The 26,820-nt window shown below is 42.6% G+C and overlaps 1 long non-coding RNA gene across 1 annotated transcript; it reads left to right on the top strand.

The window, feature by feature from the left end:
• The first annotated feature begins 90 nt into the window (after positions 1–90).
• LOC105377940 (uncharacterized) lies at positions 91–18,810 on the top strand. Its single transcript, XR_007059703.1, has 7 exons — positions 91–264; positions 1,529–1,690; positions 1,919–1,972; positions 5,825–5,942; positions 6,801–7,304; positions 11,776–11,916; positions 18,550–18,810. It is a non-coding gene; the product is annotated as an uncharacterized LOC105377940 (long non-coding RNA).
• Positions 18,811–26,820: the final 8,010 nt, after the last annotated feature.

Here is a 26,820-nt window from a genome sequence, read left to right as displayed (position 1 = left end):
TCACATGCCCATCTCTGAACCAATGACTATGCCCGATCTTCACTGTGGCCTCATCTGGGCCACCTGGTGGATCCCTGGAGTTGGGATGAAGCCTCACCCAGCCCACAGGAAGTAAAAGTGGGGGCAGAGGAGGGCCCTTGGATGAAGGTCGAGCTCTGTTCTGGGAATAGTGGGAATATCCTTGAGGCATTCATCTCCCATAGACAGTGAAACTCTCCTTGCCTATGGAAGGATATGACAAACGTGAAGATTTTGCTTTTAAATGTAAGAATTGTCAGTGTCATACCTAAGAAATGACGGAAAATAATATTAAAAATTTAAGAGTGTTAAAATAGATCAACTGCAAACGTGTGTTCCCAGGACACAAATCTGAAGGGTATACATTAACTAATAGACGGGTTATTTTTCTTTAAAGAAAAATCCCTTATATCTTATATATACACAAGGGATTCTTAAGGAAGGACAACCTAGTCTTCCTTTTCACCCAAAATTTACAGTGTTAAAAATAATTTTATGGCCGGGTGTGGTGGCTCACATCTGTAATCCCAGCACTTTGGGATGCCGAGGTGGAAGGATCACTTGAGGTCAGGAGTTTGAGACCAGCCTGGCCAACATGCTGAAACCCCATTTCTACTAAAAATACAAAAATTAACTGGGCTTGGTGGAGCACTTCTGTAATCCCAGCTATTCAGGAGGCTGAGGCAAGAGAATCATTTGAAACTGGGAAGCAGAGGTTGCAGTGAGCCAAGATTCTGCCACTGCACTCCAGCCTGGCGACAGAGTGAGTGGGACTCCATCTCAAAAAAATAAAATAAATAGATGAATAAATAAATAAATAAATAAATAAATAAATAAATAAATAAACAATTTTACTATTAACTGAGAACCTTTTCAGTGCCAGATCCTGAGCTAGGCTCTTGATGTGTTGTTATTTTTAATCCTTACAACAACTCTACAAAGCAATCTTAGTACTCTTCATTTCCAAAGGAGGAAAAAGAGGCTGAGAGAGATTGTATAACCTTCCAACAGTGACAGCACTAGTAGTGCCCACCAAGTGGTCAAGCCCAGGTTGTATGTACCGGAGTGCCCTTCTTGGCTAAGAAAACCTAAAATTCCCTAACTTGTGTTTGGCTGAATTTCTGAGGGCTTTGAGTGCCCAGAGTGCTCCTGCTGCTTCAAAAGCTGCAGCTTCAGCTGCTTTTGAACATCTCAGCGACTGCAGGGACAGAAATAGCACTAAGTGGAAAAAGGATCCAAAAGAAGAATCTAAAACTTCAGCTATTATATAGACACAAAGATATACTACTTAGGTCTTTCCAAATGGATGAAAGGATGCCACACCTAGGTTTTCCAAAGAATTCATTCCTTTTGGTGTGGCTGAACTGGTGAGATGTAGGGGCTTCTTAAAAGCATTCTGATGTCATCTCCTGGTAAAGCCTAGGGCTTGGGAACTGAAATGTACAAGAAATAAACATGCAGTGAAACACCTGAGAGTCTATCCTCTTTGTGTCTCCCATCATTTCTGCAGGCTGAAGTTTCCATTTAATTTTTGCATCACATCTTTAGCACTATTGGACATCCTAGAAACCTCATTCACAAGATTTCAAGTTTGAAGTGATAGTGTTTGCTACCAGAGCCCCTTTTCTGTCAAAGAAATTAGAAGCAGGAAGGTTGATGCATTCCCCCACAGGTGAGTCACCAAGAAAATGTTTGAGTCTTCAAAAGGCGATGGTTCCACTCTTAGCTGGTGAATTCCATGAGCATACAAAGCTCTGTTTGTAACCCTGTCACAGAAGAAGAATCTGGGATGTGTTTTTTATTTGGTACAGGAAATAAGAGGTGGATGATTCCAGTTTGTGGAATTTGACAGTCTTCTGTTCAGTCAGTATCTCTTATTTTGTTATGCTTATTTTAACAGAAAGAAAAGAGGTCTTTTAGAATAATGTGAAACTCACACTCTGCATGGGGACAGGTAAGGAGGGAAGCCTGGGATGTGTGCAGAGAAAAGGCAGCATGGCTGTTTGACTGGAGCAAAGGAAATGTGGCATGGGGGTGGAGGGACAGGGCCACCTCAGGGAGCATTGAAGGTTCAGCCATGGAGTTCAGGCTTTATTCTCAAAGTAGTGGGAGTTAATGAAGGTTTTTGACTAGATGTATCAGAATTGTGTTTTCTGTTTGTTTGTCTGTCTGTTTGTTTGTTTGTTTGTTTGAGACAGAGTCTCTCTCAGTTGCCCAGGCTGGAGTGCGGTGGTACGATCTCAGCTTACTGCGATCTCTGCCTCCTGGGCTTAAGCCATCCATCTTCCCACCCCAGCCTCCCGAGTAGCTGGGGTCACAGGTGCATGCCACCAAGTCTGGCTTATTTTTGTACTTTTTTTTTTTTTTTTTTGTAGAAAAGGGGGTTTCGCCATGTTGTCCAGGCTGGTCTTGAGCTCCTGGGCTCAAGTGATCCACCCACCTCAGCCTCCCAAAGTGCTGGGATTATAGGTGTGAGCCACTGTGCCTGGCCAGAACTGTTTTAGGGAGAACAATTTATTAACAATATAGGAAATAGAACAGAAACAGAGGGTGGACATAGGCAAGCCTGTGAGATGTCTACTATAGAGTCCCAGGCTGACACTGGAAGGCAGGCGTTAGCATCAAGAGTCAGAATGGAAAAGACGTCAGGAGGGAGAAGCTACTATAGAGATGGAAGTTATGGGTCAGAGTGGATAACGAAGGACAAGATGGTGCTGCACTGGGTGACTGCATGGGTGGTGGTGCTGTGTACAGATTGGGGCGAACGTGGAGGAAGCACAAGTGTTGAAAGAAGGGATCATGGGTCCACTTTTGAACATACTGAGTTTGAGGTTTCAATAGGACATCTTTGTAGGGATGCGTAGAAGACAGTTGGAAATACAAATGTGGATTCAGAGACAAGTCCAGCCTTCAGTGGAACTCAGACAAGTCCAGGAAGATGAGGAGGAAGGGGGCTAGAGAAATAGTAGAGGAAGGGGGCTAGAGAAATAGTAGAGAAAGGAAAGGACAGAGATCTGCGAAGCTGAGGGAGGAGTTTTAAGAAAAGGGTGGGCCAGGTGTGGTGGCTGTAATCTCAACACTTTGGGAGGCCAAGGCACAGGGGGATCACTTGAGGCCAGGAGTCCAAGACCAGCCTGAGCAAGATACTGAGACCACATTTCTACAAAAAAAAAAAAAAAAAAAAAAAAAAAAAAGTTATCTGGGGCAGTGGTGGGCACCTGTAGTCCCAGCTACTCAGGAGACTGAGGCAAGAGGCTTGCTTGAGCCCAGGAGGTCGAGGCTGCAGTGAGCCATCATACCACTGCACTCCAGCTTGGGTGACATAATGAGACCTTGTCTCAGGAAAAAAAAAAAAAGAGTGGTGTGGTTAGCAGTATCTGATTTAGTAAAGGGCTGAGAAGGTTGAGGATGGACACTGGCAGACTTTGGCTTTTACCCTCATCCCTGTCCAGTAAGAGTTCTCTCAATTCCAAACATTTAAAAGTGAGTGGGAATCATTAATGGAACCATACATTTCAAAATGATTAAAATGGAAAATTCTATGTTATATTTCTCTATAAATGAGTAAATGAGAGAAAAACATTAACATTTAAAAAAATCATATTGTTCTCTACATGTTTCTGTATGCTTAAAACATAATAAATTGCTTTGAAAAGTAAGTGGTAGGTCAAAAACAGAAGTATTGATACAAACCACACTTTGGAGAAATGTGATAGCTAAGTGAAGGAGGGAAAGCATGAGTGACTCAGCTTAACGGGTAACAGGAAAGAAAGAACTTGTTTTTTCGTTTGTTTCGATGAGGCAACTTGTTTATCTTTCTGGGGGCCATCGCTTACCCACCAGCTGCCCCCTACCTTTGTTCCCGCCTTCATTGTGGAGTCTCACACTCAACTCAACCTGGAAACAACTCAACCTAGAAACAACACGGTGAAGGTGAGACTGAAGATGGGGGCCAGGTGGTGGGTAAGTGATGGCCCCCAAAAAGGTACGTCCACGTCCTAGCTCCTGGAACTGTGGATGTGACCTTATTTAGAAAGAGGATCTTTGCAGAGGTAATTCATAAGGATCTTGAGATGAGATCATCTGGATTATCCAGGTGGGTCCTGAATCCAATGACAAGTGTCCTTATAAAGGGCAGAAGAGGAGAAGACAGAGAGAATAGGAGGAGCCCATGTGAAGATAAAGGCAAAGTTGGCAGCGATGCAGCCACAAGCCAAGGAAAGCTGGGTATCACCAAAAGCTGGAAAGGACAGGAAGGATTCTCCCCTAGAGCCTTTGGAGGAAGCATGGCACAGCTGACGCCTTGATTTCAGACCTCTGCCCTCTCAGAACCGTGGGAGAGTGTATTTCTGTGGTCTGCAGCCACCATATTTGTTGTGGTGATTTGTTAAAGCAGCCCTAGGAATCTAACAGGGGTGGGGAGCTTGGCCACAGTCTGAGGTCCTGAGCAGTGGGGCTGTGTCTCAGGCTTCTCATTTTCCACACCCCACCCGGGGCCAACACAATCATTTATTATGAGTTTATTCACTTGGGGCTTAAATTCACAGGACAGTATTTCTCTCATAGTGATAACTTTGTCTTCATTTTTTTCCTGTCTCGTTCCCAGTGGGTTTTAGAAAATCCACAGATATTTTATTTCTTTTTAAATTTTTTTCTCACACTTTTACCCCAGAAGATAGAAAGTCAACAAATATTTTCGTACTGATATCTTTCTCTTTTACTTTCATTTTTTAAGCTGGGACATTGGCGCCAGCGGGGCCCAGGGCTTGCAAGGGGAGCTCCTCCCTGGAGTCCCACTCCTGCCCTGGCACACAGACCAGGTGACGGGGGGCCTGTGACCGAGCAGGGCAGCATGTGGCAAAGGGCAGGGTGCCAGGGAGACCTCCCTCTGATAACTGCTGTGCATTTGAGCTGCTGATGGGGATTGTCCCAACCCTTCTAAGGGTCATGAGGTGTCAGCTCTCAGCAACCAGGGAGACTGGACTGCACAGGGGACCTCAGGGCCAGGCACCTGAGGAATGGCGATCCCTGTCTTCCCCCTGACTCTGCCTGGGTGGAGATAGGTGTTGCTCTGGCTGAGATCCTCCTCCAAGCCAGACCTGAGGTTCTATTTTTGAGGACCAAAGGAGGTGAGGGATCTTGGTCTAGGGAGAGCTGACATAGCTGCCCTCCCTCCTGTGCCTGGGAAACATTTTTCCTTGGGGACTTTCAAGGTGTAAGAACCTCCAGGAGCCGCTCCAGTCCTCTTGTGTGCTGTTGTCTGGCAGCCCTAGGGGAGACTGCTGGGCAGGGTGGCCCTGGGAGAGACTGCAGCAGGGTTCTGCGCTGCCAACACTGTCACTTCCCAGCCACCCAGACCCAGCCTCACTGGTCCTGGTGCCTGCCTTTCTCTTCCATCTTCCCCGGGCCAGCGAGGCACTGAGTCCTTTGCTTCTTTCTCACTTCATGCACCTCTGCCCTTCTTTCTCGAGCTGGCTTGCCCAAGAGTCCTTATCTGGAACCTCTGGTCTTTGTACCTCCTGGCCTGCCCTCAGCTGCTCCGTTGCCTGGGTCCCAGTGCTTGCCCACCATATTCAGGGGACATCCTGGACTCCTTGGCCACCACCCAGACCCTTCTGTATTCTGCTCCCCCTAATACCTCCTGGTCTCTGCATGAACCTCCCACTCTGACCACACTGCACTGTTGTTTCCTGGACACACGGCACCCACTCCTGCCTCCATGCTCCTGCTTCCTCCACCTGGAATGCCCTCTCTGCTGACCTACCACACACTCCTTTAAGAACGAACTTTCCTTCTTCCCCCATAGAGCCACTTCCACTTGCTCCAGGCCACAGAGTTCTCTCTCCCGTGACAGTTTCCTTCCTGTGCAATAGTATCGCCTCTGGAACTTCCTCACCTGCCACCTGGTGCTGCTACATGTCCACGTATGTATGTACGCTTTCATTCATTCTTTCTTTCTAACATTTGTTCTGAAAAAAATACATCATGTGCCATTATGCACCAGGCTCTAGAATATAAAGATGAGTAAAACCTAGTCCCTGAGTTCTAGACGTCTCCAGGTGTGGTGTGTATGCTGCGTGCCTCCCACTGGCTCTTCCAGATCCAGCCTCTGCTCTGCTCATGCCCTGGGCAAAATGGCCCAAAGCCAAAACAAGCAAACTGGTTCCCCTATAACCAAACCAGACAGCTTGGGGCCTGGCAGTGCCAGGGGAGAGCTGGCATGAGCAGGGCAGAGGCTGACTCGTATGGCGCCATCCACAGGCCCCATTGCCCTCTGGCTTCTGGTGGGCTGTGGCTAGGGAGCCCCCCCCAGGAGAGCAGAGGTTGAAGCTGCAGGGGCTGGATTCCCCTGCACCTCGCTGTGGGGTCACCCTGTCGGCTGTGTCACGATTCCTGTTAGTTCCCACTCTGCTGTCTCTGGATCTAGTGCCTGTTCCCTTCACCCTCAGGCCAGGGGTGGAGCCCTCCCCCCAGCCCCCAACCCCATACCCTGCTCACACCTTTGCAAATAGCGTCTTTACTAAACTCTCCCAAGTGTCTATATGTGCCATTTCCTTTCCGCCCAGCACCCTGAGTGAAAGTGTTTTGAAACCAGGGAGAAGCTGGAGGACAGAGGCACATAAGGTGCCGAGGACAGGAGAGACTGCACACTCTTTGTAGCTTTCACACAACCAGAGTCCAGTGCACAGAGTGCGTACTCATGTCTACAAAAGACACTTCACTCTTCTTAATTCAACCCATATCCCACTCTAGTGCCCATGTGGATCTTTTTATCATTGCAGGATGACCAAAGTCATTAAAACTTCGTAAAAAGCCTGCTTTAGTGAAGAGCTTCTGGCGACGGCCTTTGAATCTGTGCCCCTGAGGGCTCCAGGGCAGGACTCCAACTGGTGGTGTAAGACTTGCTGTCCTGATGTGGGTGGCAGTTGCTAGAAGAGGGACTGTTTCATTTCATTAGCAGTGAAGTGTGCTGTCAGCCGGCAGTGATAGCCATGGGACAAGATGCAACCCAATCTGACTCTGAAACATCCTGTCCTAGCCACCGCTGAGCTCTTCCCCCTTAGGGGGTCGCCAGAAGAGTATTGATTGGACAAGGAGAGAGAGCCCTCTTGAAGAGGAATGGTGCTAAAGTCAACCTGAAGCCTTCTGAAAATTCAGCGGCCCTAGAACTGCCCCAAATGCTATTTACTGCAAAGCAGAATTCTGTATCCAGAGGGGTTGTCCTGGACTCCACTCAAGAGGTTTAGCTTTTAAAGAGCCTAAAGGATTCCTGGCTTATCTGTTGGGTGAGTGTGAGAGTCAGATCCCAAAGGATTATATGATATGATGGATGATTTAGCACGCTGCTTCACAGGAATTTAACAGAAATATAAGATTGCTCAGCTGGAGCAGAATTGTCTAAGAGACAAACCTTTTTAAAACCCCACTAATGTATAACCTCAAGCCACAACTGGATTCAATTACTGCGTGGAAAGAAAGGCATTTTCTTATAAAGCCACTCTGTTTCCGTGCCTGGCTGTGAGCTGGGTCAGCCATGACAAAGATAAGCTTGTGTGTTGTTTTTGGTTGTTTTTCCTTTCAAGCTCTTCCCCTGGCACTGCCAGGCCCCAGGCTGTTTGGATCGGTTGTGTGGAGGCCAGTTTACTTGTTTTGGCTTTCAGCCTTTCTGTTCAGCATTGATGATAGAAGAGTGGGCCTGTGTCCTGCGTGGCCAGTGATGGGCTATCAGCATGGCTTGGTGGTGGCACCATGCCCAGGTGCCCCTTAGGAGGCACACAATGTTTAGAAGCCACACAGTTTGTGAGGAAGGTGAACATTCTAAGGAAGGAGACTGGCAGAGATTGTAGGGGACTCGAGAGGGGTCTGGGCACAGAAGGGTCTGCGTATTGACATTCTCAAATATTAATACAAATACCTAACATGTGGAGTGCTTACTCTCTCTAGGCCCTGTCCTAACAGCTTTACATATATTACTTCATTTAAACCTCCCAACAATCCTGTGAAGTAAATGTTATTATTATATCCACTTTACAGACGAGGAAATTGAGGAACAGAAGGGTACATAGTTTGCCCAAGGTCACACAGTAAGTAGCTGAGGGCCCACGTGCTTGATCACTCCATTGTCAAAGAGTATGGGACAGAAACTTTAAAACCATGACATGTGCATTTATGCAGACACTAAATATTTTTACAGTGTTCTTTATTCATTATTTTCCTTAACATAGTATATTAATACCTGAAAGGCATATTTGTACTGTTATATAGCATGTTTGAAATCACAAGAATGGAAAGACCCATTTGGTTCAGTCTGCCTTGGGGAAGATAAGAATATATATATAGAAAGACCTAGCCAGTGCAATAAGGCAAGAGAAAGAAATAAAAGTCATCCAAATAGGAAAGCAAGTCAAACTACCTCTCTTCACTGACTGTATGATTCTATACTTAGAAAACCCTGAAGACTCTGCCAAGAGGCTACTAGAACTGATCAATGATTCTAGTATGATTTCAGGATACAAAATTAATGTACAAAAATCAGTAGTATTTCTATACACTAAAAATATCTAGACTGAGAGTCAAATAAAAAACACAGTCCTATTTACAATAGCCATGAACAAAATGAAATACCTAGGAATACAGCTAACCAAGGAGGTAAAGATCTCTACAAGGAGAACTACAAAACACTGCTGAAAGAACTCAGAGATGACACCAATAAATGGAAAAACATTCCATGCAAATGGGTTGGAAGAATCAGTATCATTAAAATACCCCTACTGCCCAAAGCAATTTACAGATTCAAAGCTATTCCTATCGTATTACCATGTTATTCTTCACAGAATTAGAAAAAACTATTCTAAAATTCATATGGAACCAAATAGCCAAAGCAATCCTAAGTAAAAAGAACAAAGCCAGAGGCATCACTCTACCTGAGTTCAAACTATACTATAAGGCTACAGTAACCAAAACAGCATGATACCAGCACAAAAACAGACACATAGACCAATGGAACAGAATAGAAAGCTCAGAAACAAAGCTGTGTGCCTACAACCATCTGATCAACAAGGCTGACCAAAAAAAAAAAAAAAGGACTTTCTATTCAATAAATGATGCTGGGATAGCTGGCTAGCCATATGCAGAAGAATAAAACTAGACCCTTACCTTTCACCGTATACAAAAGTTTTCTCAAGATGGATTAAAGATTTAAATATAAGACCTCAAGTTATAAAAATCCTAGAAGAAAACCTAGGAAATACCCTTCTCAACATTGACCTTGACAAATAATTTTTGGCTAAGCCCTTAAAAGCAATTGCAACAAAAAACAAAAATTGGCAAGTGGGACCTAATGAAATGAAAGAGCTTCTGCACAGCAAAAGAAACCATCAACAGAGTAAAACAGACAGCCTACAGAATGGGTTGCAAAATATTCTCAAACTATGCATGTGACAAAGGTCTAATATCCAGAATCTATAAAGAACTTAAATCAACAAGCAAAAACCAAATAACTCCATTAAAAATGGGCAAAGGACATGAACAGATACTTCTCAAAAGAAGACATACAAGCAGCCAACAAATATATGAAAAAAGTTCATCATCACTGATCATCAGAGAAATGCAAATCAAAACCACAGTGAAATACCATCTCACACCAGTCAGAATGGCTTCTATGAAACAGTAAAAAACAACAGATGCTGGTGAGGCTGTGGAGAAAAGAGAGTGCTTATACAGTGTTGATGAGAATGTAAACTAGTTCAGCCACTGTGGAAAGCAGTTTGGAGATTTCTCAAAGAACTTAAAACAGAGCTACCATTTGACCCAGCGATCCCATTATTGGGTATCTACCCAAAGGAAAACAGATCATTATACCAAAAAGACACATGCACCTGTATGTTCATCACAGCACTCTTCACAGTAGCAAAGACATGGAAACAATGTAGGTGCCCATCAGCAGTGGACTGGATAAAGAAAGTGTGGTGCATATACACCGTGGAATACTATACTGCCATAAAAAAGAATGAAACATGTCCTTTGCAGCAATGTGGATGGAGCTGGAGGCCATAATCCTAAATGAATTAATGCTGGAACAGAAAAACAAATACCCGTGTCCTCACTTATAAGTGGGAGCTAAACATTGAGCACACATGGTCATAAACATGCGGACAACAGACACTGTGGACTACTAGAGGGAGGAGGGAAGAAGCAGGATGTGGGTTGAAAAACTACCTATTAGGCACTATGCTCACAAACTAGGTGCAATGTGCCCATGTAACAAACTGGCATGTGTACCCCCTGTATCTAAAATAACAGTTGATATTTTTAAAAAAGAATATATATAAACATATATATTATATGTAAAGTATATATATTTTAGGGCCTGGCACATGATACTAATGACTCATATGGAAAGCCAGCGAGCTTTCATAAGATATTGCACACAAGGAAAGTTAAGAACCAGCTTGCTGGGCTGTCTGATCACTAGCTCAGGCTTTCTGCATGAGCTTGGCTTTCTGATAGGAAAATCCAGGGCTCTGAGCCTGGAATGAACATATGTATGGCCCAAGCTCCACCAGCAGCTTAATTCACTGTGACAATTATCAATTGGTTGCCTCTCAGCTCCAAATTCACCCTTCATTACTCGCTCTTCGAGAATGATGAGGGTTAGGCTTTGTCAGCAGGAAGTCCTGGAGGGACATTGTGAGAGAAAATGGCTGCTCTTCCTAGTTCCAGGGGGCTTGCTTTCTCAGGCTCTTGCAGCCTGGACAGCTTTCTCTGCAGCCCCAGGTGGCCAGCAGCCTGAGATGCCTTCCTGCAGACAGCTTCCCTGGGCACCTCCCTGTGAATGACCTCTGCCAGATCCCCCTCAGGAAGCTTTGCAGTAGGGTGCACAAAATGGGGTACCGCCCCTTGGATGGCTTCCCTGGCACCCGCTTGGGCAGCTTTGCAGTGGGTGCCTTCCTAAGCACTCCAGAGACAGGTTTCTGGACAGCCTCAGCAGTGAGGCCCCTCATGAACTTTTCCCCCATCCTGAAAGCCCTGGCCAGACCCTCTTCCATGAGGCCTGGATCTCAGCTCTTCCTTGAATGCTCTATCTCAGTCCTAGGGGAGATAGCTGCTGTCTGTATCAGCTATTCCTATATTCTTTAGAGCTCTCTTTACCGGTTACTAGCCAGTCTTTCATCACTTCAATCCCCTGTTACTAATTTGTTATAGTTAATTTTCTTGTAGAAATTACTGATTTGTCTCCTGTTCAGAGTTTAGTACATTCACCATATTTTTTCAGCCCACCATTTAAAATAAAAATGTAACTCCCTTTACATGAAAAACACTGCAAGAAACATGGAAGCAACAAAAACAATATGAAAACACTTTCACTATTAATTTACTAAGTTAGAAGATTCTATATTCTCTTTCAGTTCTTGGCTATCTGTCTGATTTTTCCGTATTTGTAACCTGCGTGCATAATTGAGTCTGCACTCTAAGTTTATGAGTTGACTTTAGCTTACGTAAGCAGTTTGATAGCCCTATAGTCCCCAAGTAGCCACTGGTCACATAGTCCTTGCATTTGTCATCAGGCAAGGCAATATAATATTCCATTTTCTTCACGTGCTCAAATTTGCTAAGCTAGTTCCTGATTGTGGGATACATGGGTTGGTTCATGCTTTTCCATATTACAAAAAGCACAGATCAAAATATTTTTGTTCAAGTTGCATCAACCCCACCTAATTTTTTCTCTTGTTTCTTCCTTTCTCGATTCTCTAACAGTTGGGCTCACATATTTTCCCACCGATAGACAAGAGATTACCAGAAAAGGGGTGAGGAATCCAGAGAGAATGTCTGCATAAGAAGGAGGGTGGAGATTTCTTACTGAACTAAAGGCTTCAAGAATTGGCAAATACCTGCTCAGTAAGTATCTCCTGCCAGGAAAAGAACCAGTCTCAGAGGTGGAGGCAGAGGGGAATCATTGGTTGGAGAGGAGGAATTTAGACTTGGGAAGCAAGGTCGTTCTAGAGATCAAGACTGTCTTTTCTTCAGTCTCTCATAGTGTAACCTGTGACTAATGCATTAGTCATACTGAGCACGTGGAAACTACACAATATACACTAGAAAAACATTTTAGTTCTCAAGAATAGCCTCAAAATCAGACAATGCCTGAAGTAATTGAGAGTGGGAAGCACATTGTGCAAGTGATTACTGCTCTCTGACATTTTAAACCACCAATAACTCAATTGTTTCCTGAATTCCCAGAGAGTCAGAGAACATGAAAAAACCTTCTTTGTCACTCAGTGGAGTAAATGTTAATCTCATACTTAAATCTTTTTCTTTTTCACATAAAAGTGTTCCTGGTATAAAGCCCAGAAAGAAGCTTAAGCATAGCACCCCCTGTATTGTTCATTTTCTTGTTCATACATAATGTTTACCTGGAAATTCTTTATTTCACACTTATTCTTAAAAGTAATTTTGCTGAGTCTCCAAACAACTGTTTTCAAAATTTTCTTCCATTTTTCTGACTTGGAATCACTAGAAATTAAAACTGTGCTTTTCTTAAAGCTCTATAAACTGAAGCTAGCAACTTAAACTTCGGGAGAAACAATAGCAACATATGTAATTAATATATATATATATACAACTTTTGTGCCTGCCTGATGATGTATGGACTTCTCAGAAAGTTCACTTGAACACCCGATTCGAGCCACAATCCAGAAAAATCTGTCAGGTTGCTACTGCAACCTGAAGATGCTTGAGAGACTCTAGAAAAACTAGTCTATCAACTGCTCCAGGACATTCACCTTTGCTTTCCTTCTGTTTCTGTAGAAATGCCTCCTATTAAAGATCTGTTTGCCTGCATCATATATAGTGGCCCACCCTGTCTGCAATGCCACCTCCTAGAATGAGACACAGCTGTTTAACTGATCTATTCTCAGGACTAAGAGACTGACTAAAGAAGATACGAGGATGATATATTTAAATTTGCTCTTTTCTGTTCCTTCCAATTTGTCTTTCCATTTCTTTGTCTATCTCTAACAAGCTCTAAAACAAATTTCTCCAAAGCTATCTGCTTGTCTTTTAATATGTGAATTTTTTTAAGTTTCAAAGTGATGACTGAAATATTTCACCCCAAAATATGGCTCCCTGGTATAGTGAGTATGTTGAATTCAACACCCTTAGAGATCAACAAGCACTAGAAGAGGCTTTTCCCACCTACATAAAGATAGGAATGATCCACCGAGGAGAACAATTGCTCTTGTTCTCCTCCGTTATCTCATTATCCATTACAGGAAAGAAGACCAAGAATGTAACCACACCTGAACGGAACCTTTTTGAGATAATGACTGTCTCTAAGGATCATTTACATTCCAAGAACTACTTACAAGTTAATTTCTGCTCCCTGATCCAACCATTTTCCCTGGTGATCATTTATTGCCCCTCAATACAATTATTCTCCTCCCCATTCCCATAACCCATTCTATCCGGATTCAAGCCCCCATTCTTTCTGTAACCTCAAGATAGCAGGTAAGCTGCTGTACCACATTGAGAAGTTGGGTCTTCATTCTGAAGGTTCCCATGTGTACACACTAAATAAGTTTGTATACCTTTTCCCCTATTTATTATTATTATTTTTGAGACGGAGACTCCCTCTGTAGCCTAGGCTGGAGTGCAATGGCGTGATCTTGGCTCAGTGCAACCTCCACCTCCCAGGTTCAAGCGATTCTCCTGCCTCAGCCTCCTGAGTAGCTGGGATTACAGGTGCCCACCACACCTGGTGAATTTGTATATTTTTAGTAGAGATGGTGTTTCACCAAGTTGGCCAGGCTGGTATCGAACTCCTTACCTCAAATGATCCACCTGCCTCAGACTCCCATAGTGCTGGGATTACAGGCGAGCACCACCGTGCCTGGCCATCTATTCCCCTATTTTTTTTTTAAAGTAGTTTTGCTGCACATGCAATTCTCATTTATTTTCGCTTATCACTTTGAAGATATTGTTCCACAATTGTCTAGTTTCTGTTGCTGTATAAAGGTATGTTGCTAATAATTTTTGTAGATGATCTGTCATTTTTCTGCTTTAAGATCTTTCTGAGTTTAGCATTCTGCAATTTTATTACTATCTTTTGCAGACTGGGTGTGGATTTTAAAAGCTTTATCTTGCATGGTATATGGTGTGCATCTGTAACTGCCCAGTAAGTTCTTCTTGCCTGCTGCCCAGATAGAGCCAATTTATCAAGACAGGAGAACTGCAATGGAGAAAGAGTTTAATTCGTGCAGAGTTGGCTGAATGGAAGAGTTTAATACACATAGAGCAGGCTAAATGGAAGACTGAAGCTTTATTATTACTCACATTAGCCTCCCTGAAACACAGTCTTGCAGGCAGGGGGCTAGGGAATGGGGAGTGCTGATTGGTTGGGTTGAGGATGAAATCACAGGGAGTCCAGGCTGTCCTCTTGCTCTGAGTCAGCTCCTGGATGGTGGCCACAAGACCAGAGGAGCCAGTTTACTGGTCTGGGTGGCGCCACTGGATCCATCAGAGTGCAGAGTCTGAAAAATATTCCAAACACCAATCTTAGATGTTATTCACAAAAGCAATTAGAAGGTTAGGAATCTGGTGCCCTCTGGCTGTATAACTCCTAAGCCATAATTTCTAATCTTGTGGTTAATCTGTTAGTTTTACAGAGGCAGTTTGGTCCCCACACAAGGAGGAGGTTTGTTTCAGGGAGGGGCTGTTATCGTCTTTGTTTCAAACTATAAACTAAATTCCTCCCAAAGTTAGTTCAGCCTATGCCCAGGAAGGAAGAGGGGCAGGTTGGAGGTTAAACGCAGGATGGAGTCAGTTAGGTCAGATCTCTTTCACTGTCATAACTTTCTCACTGTTGTAATTTTTGCAAGGGTAGTTTAACTTTCTATATCTGGGAACTCATCTCTTATCAGTTCTGGAAATTCTCTTTTATTATCTTTTTTAATATTGGTTTTTCATCTATTTTCTCTAGTCTTTTCTGCCACTCCTATTATATTAAATCTTATTCTATCCTCTATGTCTTGACCCCTCTTTGATGTTCTATCTTCCTGTCTCTTTGTGTTATATTCCAGGTAATTTCTTCAGATATATTAGTTAAATAATTCTCTTTTCAGTTGTTTCTTATATACTGTTTAATTTGGTCATTGAGTTTTTAATGTCAACAACTATATTTTTCATTTATAAATGTTTTACTTGGCTCTTTTTCAAATCTGCCTGGTCATATTTCATAGTATCTGGGTTACTTCCATACATTTATGATCTCATCTTGGATTTCTTTAAATATTTCCTATACAACACTTGGTATGCATGATTTTGCATTTAAAATGCACTATTTTGCATTTAATAATTCTAATACCAAAGTCTTGGGAGTGTAAATTTATTGTTTATTATTTTTGCTTTCTTTTCCATATGCTGGCTTATTCTCTTGCTGTTTGGTGGTGGTCTTTGATCCTGAACACATTGTGCTTGATCACTGGGAGTCTTGGGGTCCTAAGTTGAAGTTATGTACTCCAGAAGAGGTTGTCACTTGCTTCTTCCATGGCCCAGAGGACTGGTTGAGCCTCCTTCAGGGGTCATGGTTTACAGTGGGAGACCTGAAGTTGACTTTTGCACCTTGTAATGGGCTTGGGGCTTAGTGTCAGATTTTGTCCCACACTTACCTTTTAGCTCTTTCCTGGATTTCAGCTCACTGCCATTGTTTCTTTGCTTGGAGAGTTTGTTTGCCATTGCTGCAAGCCCAGCTGCGCATTAAAAAACATGTTGTATCCAGAATGTAGTAGAATTATAGCAGGAGGCCTTCAAAGGATCAGTTTTGTCAGAATAGTGAGAATGGATGGTGTGTGTTCGTAATGTTCAAGGCATATGAACACAACTGCAAGAATTAGACAGGCACAAGTAGGTGTAGCCCACACTTCAAAATTTTAGAAACAATAAGACATAGACATAGGAAAGAACTAGAGCACATTTCAAAGCTCTATCTCTCTTTCTCTGTCTGCATCTGTCTATCTATGTCTATATCTACAGCTGTATCATCTAAATGTCCTCACATGTAATACAAAGGTAGAGATGGGTGAAGAACTGATACCCAGAGTAAGTGTAGGATTTCCTTTAAGGGCCTGAAGCTGGTACTCAGGGTGGAGGAAACAGCATGAACAGAGGCACTAGGAGGGAATAAGTATGGGATCATCTCTGTGTCTCTGTTTATAACAAGGGCCTTGCCTCACTGTTATCCTTCTGGCTTCATAATTGCAGAATTTAGCTAGTAATTTTGTATACAAATATCCCTTTTGAGAGTCCCCTATAATTTCCTTATTTACAATATGGATGCCCATTAAAGTCCTCATAGTCTTATCAGGTGGCTTTTACATGTGGACAATGTAAGGACTGTATTATTTACTCCTTTGATGATCATGGTAGCTAGGGTGCTGAAATCAATCAAGCAACAGCATCTCAGAGAGATGCACCTTGTTTCCTACTTTTGCATGCAAAGTTGCTGTTTTTTCCTTTCATTGTCCACTTATTGAGGTGGGGTTTGAGAGTTCTGGTTTCTGTCTTTTAACACTAAAATCACCGCTGACTTGTCCATCAAGTCAGCAAAGTCTTTCCTTGGTACAGCAAAGTCTGTCTGGCTCAACCTCCATCTGGGCCTGTGGCATTCTACTGAACTTTGTAGTTTTCTCTATTCTTCAAAACAAAACTATCTGAAACAGGGTCTACTTCTGGGTTGTAAATTAGTTGTAGAAAATCTGGGCTCTGAACAAAAACCACATTTGAAAGCACATGTCTTCTCTTTTATTGGCTTTTGCTCTAAAAAGCAAAGGCTGAAAAACAGCTGTTAGCTGTTTATAGAGTATTTTTTATTTAAGTGTTAGACAATAGCTGTTTTCTTCTCCACTTACAATGGCACATTTTTTCTCAGGCCAGTTAAGTCCTCTCTCGGTGTGGCCCTGGGTATTTGTATGCACCTCCTCCCTTTCCCTAGGTTTCTCAGGAGACTAAGGGTTGTTGTTTTTTTCTTCCTTTCTTCAGTTTCTGGTTTTTGGTTTTGAATTCAGACTTTGGTCTCTCAGAATAGATGGCTGAATTTAGTCCCAGGCCAGAATCCTTCTGGGCCAACTCTACACAGGTATTCACAGAAGACACTCTAGAGGAAGCTTCTATAGGTGCAAAGTGTTGATGGTTTGTGGCTAGATGGCATGGGCAGAATTAGATATAGACGTAGTTATTGCTCTCTATTCTCGAGCCCTGAACATCGTTGGTTTGCTTTCCTCTATTAGGAATTCAGAAGATAGTGCTTTCCAATCCCCTCATCCTGGAACGTGCTCTGAGGACACTGCCATTGCTCATTATCCTCATGGTCCCAAGCAAGCAAGATCAGCAGGGCTCAGGGACATATTGCACATGAGTGAAAACACTCCCTAGCCTGCAAAAGGAACCAGCCAAAATGTTTTTCAGCACTCTTGTGCTGTGTGCTGCCATAGCAATTCCTACTATATAAGACAATGGTAACACCATCAAGTTACATGTTATACCAGGTTTTCCTGGGATTTTATTTGCCTGCAGTCTGCCTCCTTTTAATCAATTTCTGTTCTTTCAGATCATCAACTTGTATTGATTTACATATGGGGGAATAGTCTAACCTGTGATTTCTGGAAAAGACAGCTTCTTATACCTCACTAAGAAGACACAGGGGCTGGTTATATCTCCCTGAGATCTTAGACATTCAAATCCTGCCTAACGAACATGAGCCCCTTCATTTACCCATCCATCACACCATGGGCTGGGCCACCTCTAAACCAGTTTCTAGGACTTGGGAATTTTTTTTGTTTTTTTAGACAAGGACTCACTCTGCCATCCAGGCTGAAGTGCAGTGTCACAATCACAGCTCACAGCTCACTGCAGCCTCTAGCTCCCCAGGCTCAGGTGACCCTCCCACATCAGCTTCCCAAGTAGCTCAGGTGACAGGAATGCACCACCACACCCAGGTAATTTTTGTATTTTTAGTAGAGATGGGGTTTCGCCATGTTGCCCAAGCTTGTCTCAAACTCCTGGGTTCAAGCGATCCTCCCACCTCAGCCTCCAAAAGTGCTGGGATTACAGGCGTGAGCCACCACACCTGATGAACTTGGGAATTCTTACAAGGTGACACCAGGGAAGCACTGCAAGCTTGTTAGAAACTGCCTTTGCAAAACTTATAATGGTGAGAAAATTATGACAGTGAAAGAGATCTGACCTGACCAACTTCGTCTTGCCTTTAACCTCCAAACTGCCCTGGTCATTCCTGGGCATGGGCCAAGCTAACTTTGGGAGAATTTTAGTTTATAGTTTAAATGATAATAACTCTTCCCAAAATGAAACTGCCTTTATAAAACTAATAAAAGTTCACAAGTTTAGGATTATGAGAGGGATTTGAATTCTGCTAAGATGTAGGCATAAAGGATTATCAGCCATCATTCCAGAGGTCACCAGATTTGTAACTTCCCCAATTACTCCTATAAATAACCTCACTATTGTAGCCCTTTTGAGATGTTTTTCCAGACTTTTGTATTTCTGATGACTGGATGACTCCACCTGGACCCGAGACTCATGACTCACCCAGTCCTGTGGCCCCACCCAGAAGTGGACTCAGAGCAAGAGGACCATTTTCCACACCCCAATGAGTGCATCCCCAACCAATCAGCAGCACCTGTTCCCTAGCCCCCTGACCACCAAACTCTCCTTGAGAAACCGTAGCCTCCAAATTTTCTGGGAGGCTGATTTGAGTAATAATAAAACTTTGGTCTCCTATGTAGCTGGCTCTATGTGTATTAAACTCTTCCTCTATTGCAATTCCCCTGCCTTGGTAAGTCGGCTTTATCTGGGCAGTGGGCAAGAAGAATTCACTGGGTGTTACATGTTGAAATAAATATATACCTGGATAACAGACAAGCTTTGTACCCTTCACAGAGACTCTAGGAATTTGCAAATCTATAGTGACAATGCCACCTCCAATCCCCCAACAACCCTCCCCAAAGTACTCCTCCGTCTTATTCTGCATCACACATAACTAAACACATTTTGCTCTTATTTAATAAGGGAAAAACACATTGTGATTGTTGCTTTTAGAATAGTTGGTCCAAATTAGATAATTAGAAAAATAGTTCCCATAGATGTAACTCAAAACAGTAGGTTTGTATGACACTATTTCAAAAACAAGTTTTGTGGTTAAAATAATACCTCCCTTTGGGAGATAAGAGTTTTGGCATATTAAAGGCTCCAAGAAGTCCTGTGACAAAGACATTTTGTGGAACTCTGTTTTCACAGGACATCTATTAACCTCTCTCAGTACAGTCATGAGGAAAACATGTCCTGAAATCTGTCTTGAAGTTCAAATTTTCAGCATCCTCAGGCATATTCACCCACCGGGAATCCTGGTTTCAGCTGCCCCATCCTGCTGCTGCCCTCTCTCCACTGATCCTCACCGACTCCCTTTGTTTATGGGACAGGGCTCAATAATGGGGAAGATCAGGGTCCCACACACTTTCTCAGAGCTTAAACTAAGAGGGGAGGGGAGCTGACGGTGGAGGGAAAAGCTGCCTCTTCTCCATGATTGTCCTCACCCACCCTCTTGCCTACAGGGGGCTGCTTCTCTTGTGTGGCACATTTGCTTTCACTATTAATAACTGTATAGTTATTTTGCCATCCTATTCTAGTTGTGGACCAGTTGGAGCGGGGCATAGACATAATGCGTGAAGAAGGATGCTGACCCACAGCTATTCTTCCAGAAAAAGGCAGGCACCCCCAAAGTACAAGGGGAAGGGCACTTCCCCTTAGCCAGGTGGAGGCTGGCATGGAACATAAAGTCTTAGTTGAAATGGATATGGCAACCACAAGGAAACATGTGACTTTGCAAAGAGAGACAGATGGACAGTGACTCAGACAACTGTACCATACCAGAAGCACACCAGCTTCCTGAGCACAGAAACATCCATCTCCAGCCCAGCGATAGAAATGTTTGTAAAACAGTGTAACAAGATTCTGCCCAGTTTCCCACTAGGTGTCCGGGGAAATGGGTGGCTGGAGGATAAAGAGGAGGAGGAGGAGGAAACAGGCGCGTTCTGGCCAGTAATTCTCTCAAACGGGATGAGTATTGTTGCCAGCAGGACTTCTCAAAGGAAGGTATCTTAGTTCAGGCTGTCATAACAAAATGCCATAGACTAGGGGGCTTACAAACAACAGAAATTTATTTCTCACAGTTCTGGAGGCTGGTACCCCCAAGATCAAGGTGCCAGCTGGTTCGGTGTGTGGTTAGGGCCTTGATCCTCATAGATGGCCAAATTCTCACTGTAACCTCACAAGGCGGAAGGGGTGAGGGGTCTCTTGGGGCCTGTTTTATGGGGACACTAATCCCATTCATGAGGGCTTTTTACGACCTAACAACCTCCCAACGGCTCTGCCTCTTAATACCGTCATTTTGAGGGTTAGGATTTCAATATACGAATTTGAGGGGGACACAAATATTCAGGTCATAGCAGAGAGTGACTTCCATTTGTCAATGAAACCAGACTGTGTACGTATCACTCTTGCCATCCATACCATGGTTTGCATGTGATGTTGGGCAACAGGTTTATTTGGCTACATTCATGCCCACATCCACTAGACATGCACACTCTTCCCAAGGAGAGGGAAAAAAAAGCTAGAAACTGGTTATGTAACAATCATTAGTTTTATAGCTGAGTAAGTTATGAATAATAGTGCTTTCAGCGATTTCATTACCAATCTGCCCCCAGGAGCAAGATGAAGCTGATAAAATATTTATGGGCTAGTAAATTTTTTCTACTAATTTGCAAGGCTATAATAAAATCCATGAACTTGATGGCCTGCAGGAAACATAACAAGAACTAGGAATGTAGAGTAATTTGGAGCTAGAAAGCCTCTTAAGGCCCTACAGGAAATGACTCCCAGAAAGCAGATGAATCACAGTATTTTAAACAGAAAATAATGATGTTATGTTTGTACTTAACCAGTTATAGCCTGAGAACAATTTTCCACAAGGAAATTGTGGAAATTTCCTGCTCTCCATTATTTTTGCCTTAAGAAATAAAATTAATTCAAGTATATAAAAAACAATATTCAAATAAAAACAATTACTGGAACACAGTGTATCCTGTAATGAATATGAACTTTTAGGATTGTAATTGTTAAGAAACTACAGTATACACAGTCACATTGTGCCCTCTTGTGGCAGAAATATTGTTGTGCTCCGAGGACACGCCCTGGTGTATTTTATTCAGTAATTAATCAGGTTTGTTTGGGGGAAGTCAGTTCAAGTGAAAAGATGGTTTGCAGAAGGTAGTTGGCAAAGAGTTGTTTCTGGGGCACTCTAGAGGGTGCACACCTGGAAGGGGCCGTTCTTAGCCAGGGGAGCAGCTGTCAAAAGGTTTCCTGATGTTTTAACACATGCTAAGAAATACCCATCACAGAATGCTGCTTCAATTGTCTGTCTAATGTTACACTTGCTCATTTAAAATATTTTATTACTAGTTATCCTCATCTATAAATAACAGTAATTGCTATTATTTAGTGAAACAGGCAGTTGATGCACAGTATCTCATTTAATCTCAAAACTATAAGGTAATATAAGGAAACTGAAGATCGCAGATATTAACTAATGCTGTAGTTTACCTAACTAGTAAATGGAAGAGCTGGGATTTGATTTAACTTCCCATGTTTCCATAAGCCTATGCACTTTCCATTCTGCCAAGCTGACTCTCTAGACAAATATTTCCTGAATACTGAATACATGTGAGACTCTGTTGCTGGGTCCCCTGGAATTGACAAGGTGTAAGTAATATACTCCTATCCTTCAGGAACTTATGGCGTAAATAGGGAAATAAAAACATACACGCAAAAGAAACTGCCATACGAGGCAGCATACAAGGAATATCCATGTAGAACTTTTTTTTTTTTTTTTTTTTTGAGACGGAGTCTCGCTCTGTTGCCCAGGCTGGAGTGCAGTGGAGCGATCTTGGCTCACTGCAAGGTCCGCCTCCCGGATTCACGCCATTCTCCTGCCTCAGCCTACCGAGTAGCTGGGACTACAGGGGCCCGCCACCACGCCCAGCTAGTTTTTTGTATTTTTAAGTAGAGATGGGGTTTCACCATGTTAGCCAGGATGGTCTCGATCTCCTGACCTCGTGATCCACCCGTCTCGGCCTCCCAAAGTGCTGGGATTACAGGCATGAGCCACCGCGCCCGGCCATGTAGAACTATTTTTTAAACAAATACACAAAAGATCTGTATAGTCATGTACACTTCTCCCCTTCAGAGCAGTAGAGCTATATACTTTCTGCAGTTACTCTCCTATTGCTTTTGGATTTGAGTGTGAGCAGGACTTGTGGCTTGCTTCTAAGCCATAGAATACGGCAAAGCTGTTGGGATGTGTGTGATTATGTGTGAATACATGATTATGTTACATAAGATATTAGTACCCATCTTGCTGGGGTCTCTTTCTCTCTGGCTTTGAGGAAGCAAGTGATTACGTTGGGGAACACGTGGCAAAGAACTGTGTGGGTGGTGTCTAGGAGCTGAGGGCAGTATATTGAAGTCCTTAGTCCCAAAACTATGAGAAACTGAATTCTGCCAATAAGTGCCTCTAGTTGAGCAGTAACATTGTTACTCAACAATAGATAACTAGTACATTTATCTTTTAAAGTTTTATAATTTTAAATCTTGCATTTAGGTCTTTGATCTATTTCAAGTTGCTTTTTGCTTTTTTTTTTTTTTTTTGAGACAGAGTGTTGCTCTGTCACTCAGGCTGGAGTGCAGTGGCAGGATCTCAGCTCACTGCAACTTGCAACTCTGGGGTTGAAGTGATTGTTGTGCCTTGGCCTCCTGAGTAGCTGGGATTACAGGCATGCACCACCCATGTCCAGCTAAGTTTTGTATTTTTAATAGAGATGTGGTTTCACCATGTTGGCCAGGCTGGTCTCCAACTCCTGGACTCAAGCAATCTGCCCACCTTGGGCTTCCAAAATTCTGGGATTACAGGCATGAGCCACCATGCCTGGCCTCATTTCAAGTTAATTTTTATAGATGGTGCAAGTTTCCCACTGTCAGGTACAGGCTGACATTCTCTTTTTTTTTTTTTTTTTTTTTGACTTTTTTCTCTTTTTGGCATATGGGTATCCAATTGTTCCAATAACCAATGTTGCAAATATATCTTTTGTCCACTGAATTGCCTTGGCATCTGTATTAGTCTGTTTTCACGCTGCTAATAAAGACATACCCGAGACTGGGAAGAAAAATAGGTTTAGTGGACTCACAGTTCCATGTGGCTGGGGAGGCCTCACAGTCATGGTGGAAGTTGAAAGGCACTTCTTACATGGTGGTGGAAAGAGAGAACGAGAGAAGCGAAAGCGGAAGCCCCTTATAAAACCATGAGATCTCATGAGACTTATTCACTACCACGGAAACATTACGGGGGTAACTACCCGCATGATTCAATTCTCTCCCACCGGGTCTCTCCCACAACATGTGGGAATTTATGGGAGTATAATTCAAGATGAGATTTGGGTGGGGACACAGAGACAAACCATATCAAAGTCTTTGTCAAAAGACAATTGGCCATATATATGTCTATTTCACTGCAACCTGCACCTCCGGGGTTGAAGTGATTCTTGTGCCTCAGCCTCCTGAGTAGCTGGGATTACAGGCACGCACCACCATGTCCAGCTAATTTTTGTATTTTTAGTAGAGATGTGGTTTCACCATGTTGGCCAGCCTGGTCTCCAACTCCTGGACCCAAGCAGTCCACCCACCTTGGGCTTCCAAAGTGCTGGGATTACAGGCATGAGCCACTGTGTCTGGCCTCATGTTTCTAGGCTCTCTGCTCAGCTGATCTATGTATCTGCCTTTATGCCAGTGCACACTGTTTTACTTATTGTAGCTTTTTAATAATTCCCGAAATCAGATAGAATAAGTCTTCCAACTTCATCTGTTCTTTTTTCACCAAAGATATTTGGCTATTCTAGATGCTTAACATTTTCATAAAATATTAGAATGCAAGTTCATTGCCACGCCAGAGCATCCCCTTTTCTGCCCTGTTGTCCCAGGCCAAGAGCCATAGCCTCTTTGCTTTAGTTTCCTCAACCCTGGATAACCTGTCCCGTGGCTCACAATTTCAGGGGACATGTGTCAAGCTCTCTGAGAGGTTTCCTTGAAGCTCCTCTTCAGACTTATGGTGAGAAAGTGTCATCACCCCTCACAGGGTAGCAGCAGCTCTCACCAGGAACTCTTCCCGTAAGCCCACTCCCAGTGGAGTTCCAAGGGGAGAGCCACGAGACTGTTTTGTGCCTTCTATGTGGCCTGTATTCTTGGCCACTTGCATTGAATGTCTTCATCTTGGTCTGTCTCAAAATTTGCTTTGTGTCCAATATTTATCACGTCTTGGTGTTTCACTCAACACTTCCAATTCAATGTTTTGTTACTCATCTAAATTTAAATGTTACACGTTTAGATAATTTCATCTAGAATTTTTAGTTGTTTTATAGAGGAAGGGATGTTCAGGGAGTTGAGTTTGCAATAGTCCCAGAAACGGAAGTTTGCAATTATTTGCTTACCCATTATTGCTGCTATTTTCTTCCTGTTACCATTATAGTTATCGATCAATCATATGGAATGTACAAATTGTTTCTCTGTAGTGCAATCTTGTCACAGAACACAGAACTATCCTTTTTGGGGAGGCAGAAGAAATAGAGTAATACTTTGCCTTTTGAATATATTGGGAAGAAGAAAAGTGCTCAGATCTCAGTAAAATCTGAACATTTCTAGGTCCTTTTCAATACTTAGATGTAGCTCTTGTGAGTACTAAGTACTAAACCTCCCAGCTGGGGAATGTTACATAGCAGCATTTAAATGGGAGATGAACAATCTTAACCACATGCTGGTTCCGAGGCACTTTCCTGCAGAATGACTATATAAATCCAGGTGAGTGCTTGTAAAACACACAATTACACCCCCACAGAGTGGACTGAAAGCACGTAGTCAGGCAATGAGCACAGTTAATAATATGGCTATAAAAGAAATACAGGATCTCCTTCACTTTTTTTTTTAAAGGAAAAGGCCAATATTTATGCTTGAATGTCTTTATAGTTTGAGACACATTTTTTATTAAAATAAATTAATACATAATTGATGATGTGTATATACATATGTACCTTTGTTTGGGGTCGATATTTTTTATAACCTTGTAGTTTAAACCCAGGGGAAAATTTTTTAAACTGGTAATTTACTTGAGTTTTAAAAACCTGATGATGAGGGTAATAATTAAAATAGTAGCAATAGCAATGTAGTATATGATAAAGGCAGCATTTGAATCAATGGAGAAAAAATGGGTTAGTGTCACTCCACAGTCTTGGGACAATTGGCAATTATTTGGAAGAATGTAATCTATGTATCCTTACCTTTTTCTTTCTTTCTTTCTTTTTTTAGTCGGATCTCACTCTGTTACCCAGGCTGGGGTGAAGTGGCACAATCATAGTTCACTGCAGCCTTGACCTCCTGGGCTCAAGTGATCCTCCCGCCTCAGTCTCCCAAAGTGCTGGAATTACAGGTGTGAGCCACTGCTCCTTGTGATCTTACTCTTTCTACCAATAAAAATTCCAGATTGTATTAGTCTGTTCTCACACTGCTATAAAGAACTACTTGAGATTGGGTAACTTATAAAGAAAATAGGTTTAATTGACTCATAGTTCTGCAGGCTCAACAGGAAGTATGACTAGAAGGCCTCAGGAAACTTACAATCATGGCAGAAGGTCAAGGGAAGTATGCACACATTTACAATGGCAGAGCAGGAGACAGAGAGCAAAGGGGGAGATGCCACACACTTTTGAACAACCGGATCTCATGAGAGCTCACTCACTAGCATGAGAACAGTAAGGGGGAAGTCTGCCCCATGATTTAATCACCTCCCACTGGGCCCCTCCTCTGACACGTGGGGATAACAATTCAAGATGAGTTTTGGGCAGGGACACAGAACCAAACCATATCACAGATGAAGTTTTATATGTAAAACACAAAGAAACACAAACCTAAAAGCAACAGAATAAACCCATATATATGTATGTGTACATATGTGCATGTGCACACATACATATATTCATGTACTCATGTAAAAATTTTGTAGCACCCAAGGGTGTAAAGTAAAAAATAAATGTCCCCTTCTTCACCCAACCTTCATGTTCTATTCCCAGGGAGAAAACAAGTTATCAGATTCTTGCATGTCCTTCCAGAGATATTCTGTATATATTTAAGCATATATGTGTATACTTTTATTAAAAGACATTCTATTGGATAGACAAGATTATTCTATTCACTTTTTTGGCAAAATATTAATATATTGAACATCTTTCCACTTAGTACATATTGTTCTATCAACTCATTGTTAATGATTGCCTAGTATCTCACTGTATAGAGGCATCATATTTATTTAAACACTTTCCTAAATTGCGTTTCTCATATGGCAATGTTTCATGGTCTTCCCATATAGCCCATATGGATCTCATTATGGGAGATACCTCTACCTTATTTTGTCCTATTGCATACTATTCCACTCTAGGAATATACCACAACGTATTAGTCCATTGACAGGTTGTTTCCAACTTTTCTCTATTACAAACAATAGTTTCTAGTACATGTCCTCTTATGAAAATTTCCCTAAGACAGCAGTTCTCATACAGTCAAAGGATCACCTTGGCTATGGTGTTGAGAATAGCCATGGCATCGGGGATCAAGAACAAAATCAGTGACAGTGGCAGG

This window comes from Homo sapiens, chromosome 6 (assembly GCF_000001405.40).
Source record: "Homo sapiens chromosome 6, GRCh38.p14 Primary Assembly".
NCBI lineage: Eukaryota > Metazoa > Chordata > Mammalia > Primates > Hominidae > Homo > Homo sapiens.
Note: the sequence above shows the minus strand (reverse complement) of the source record. Positions and strands in the feature narration are given on the sequence as shown.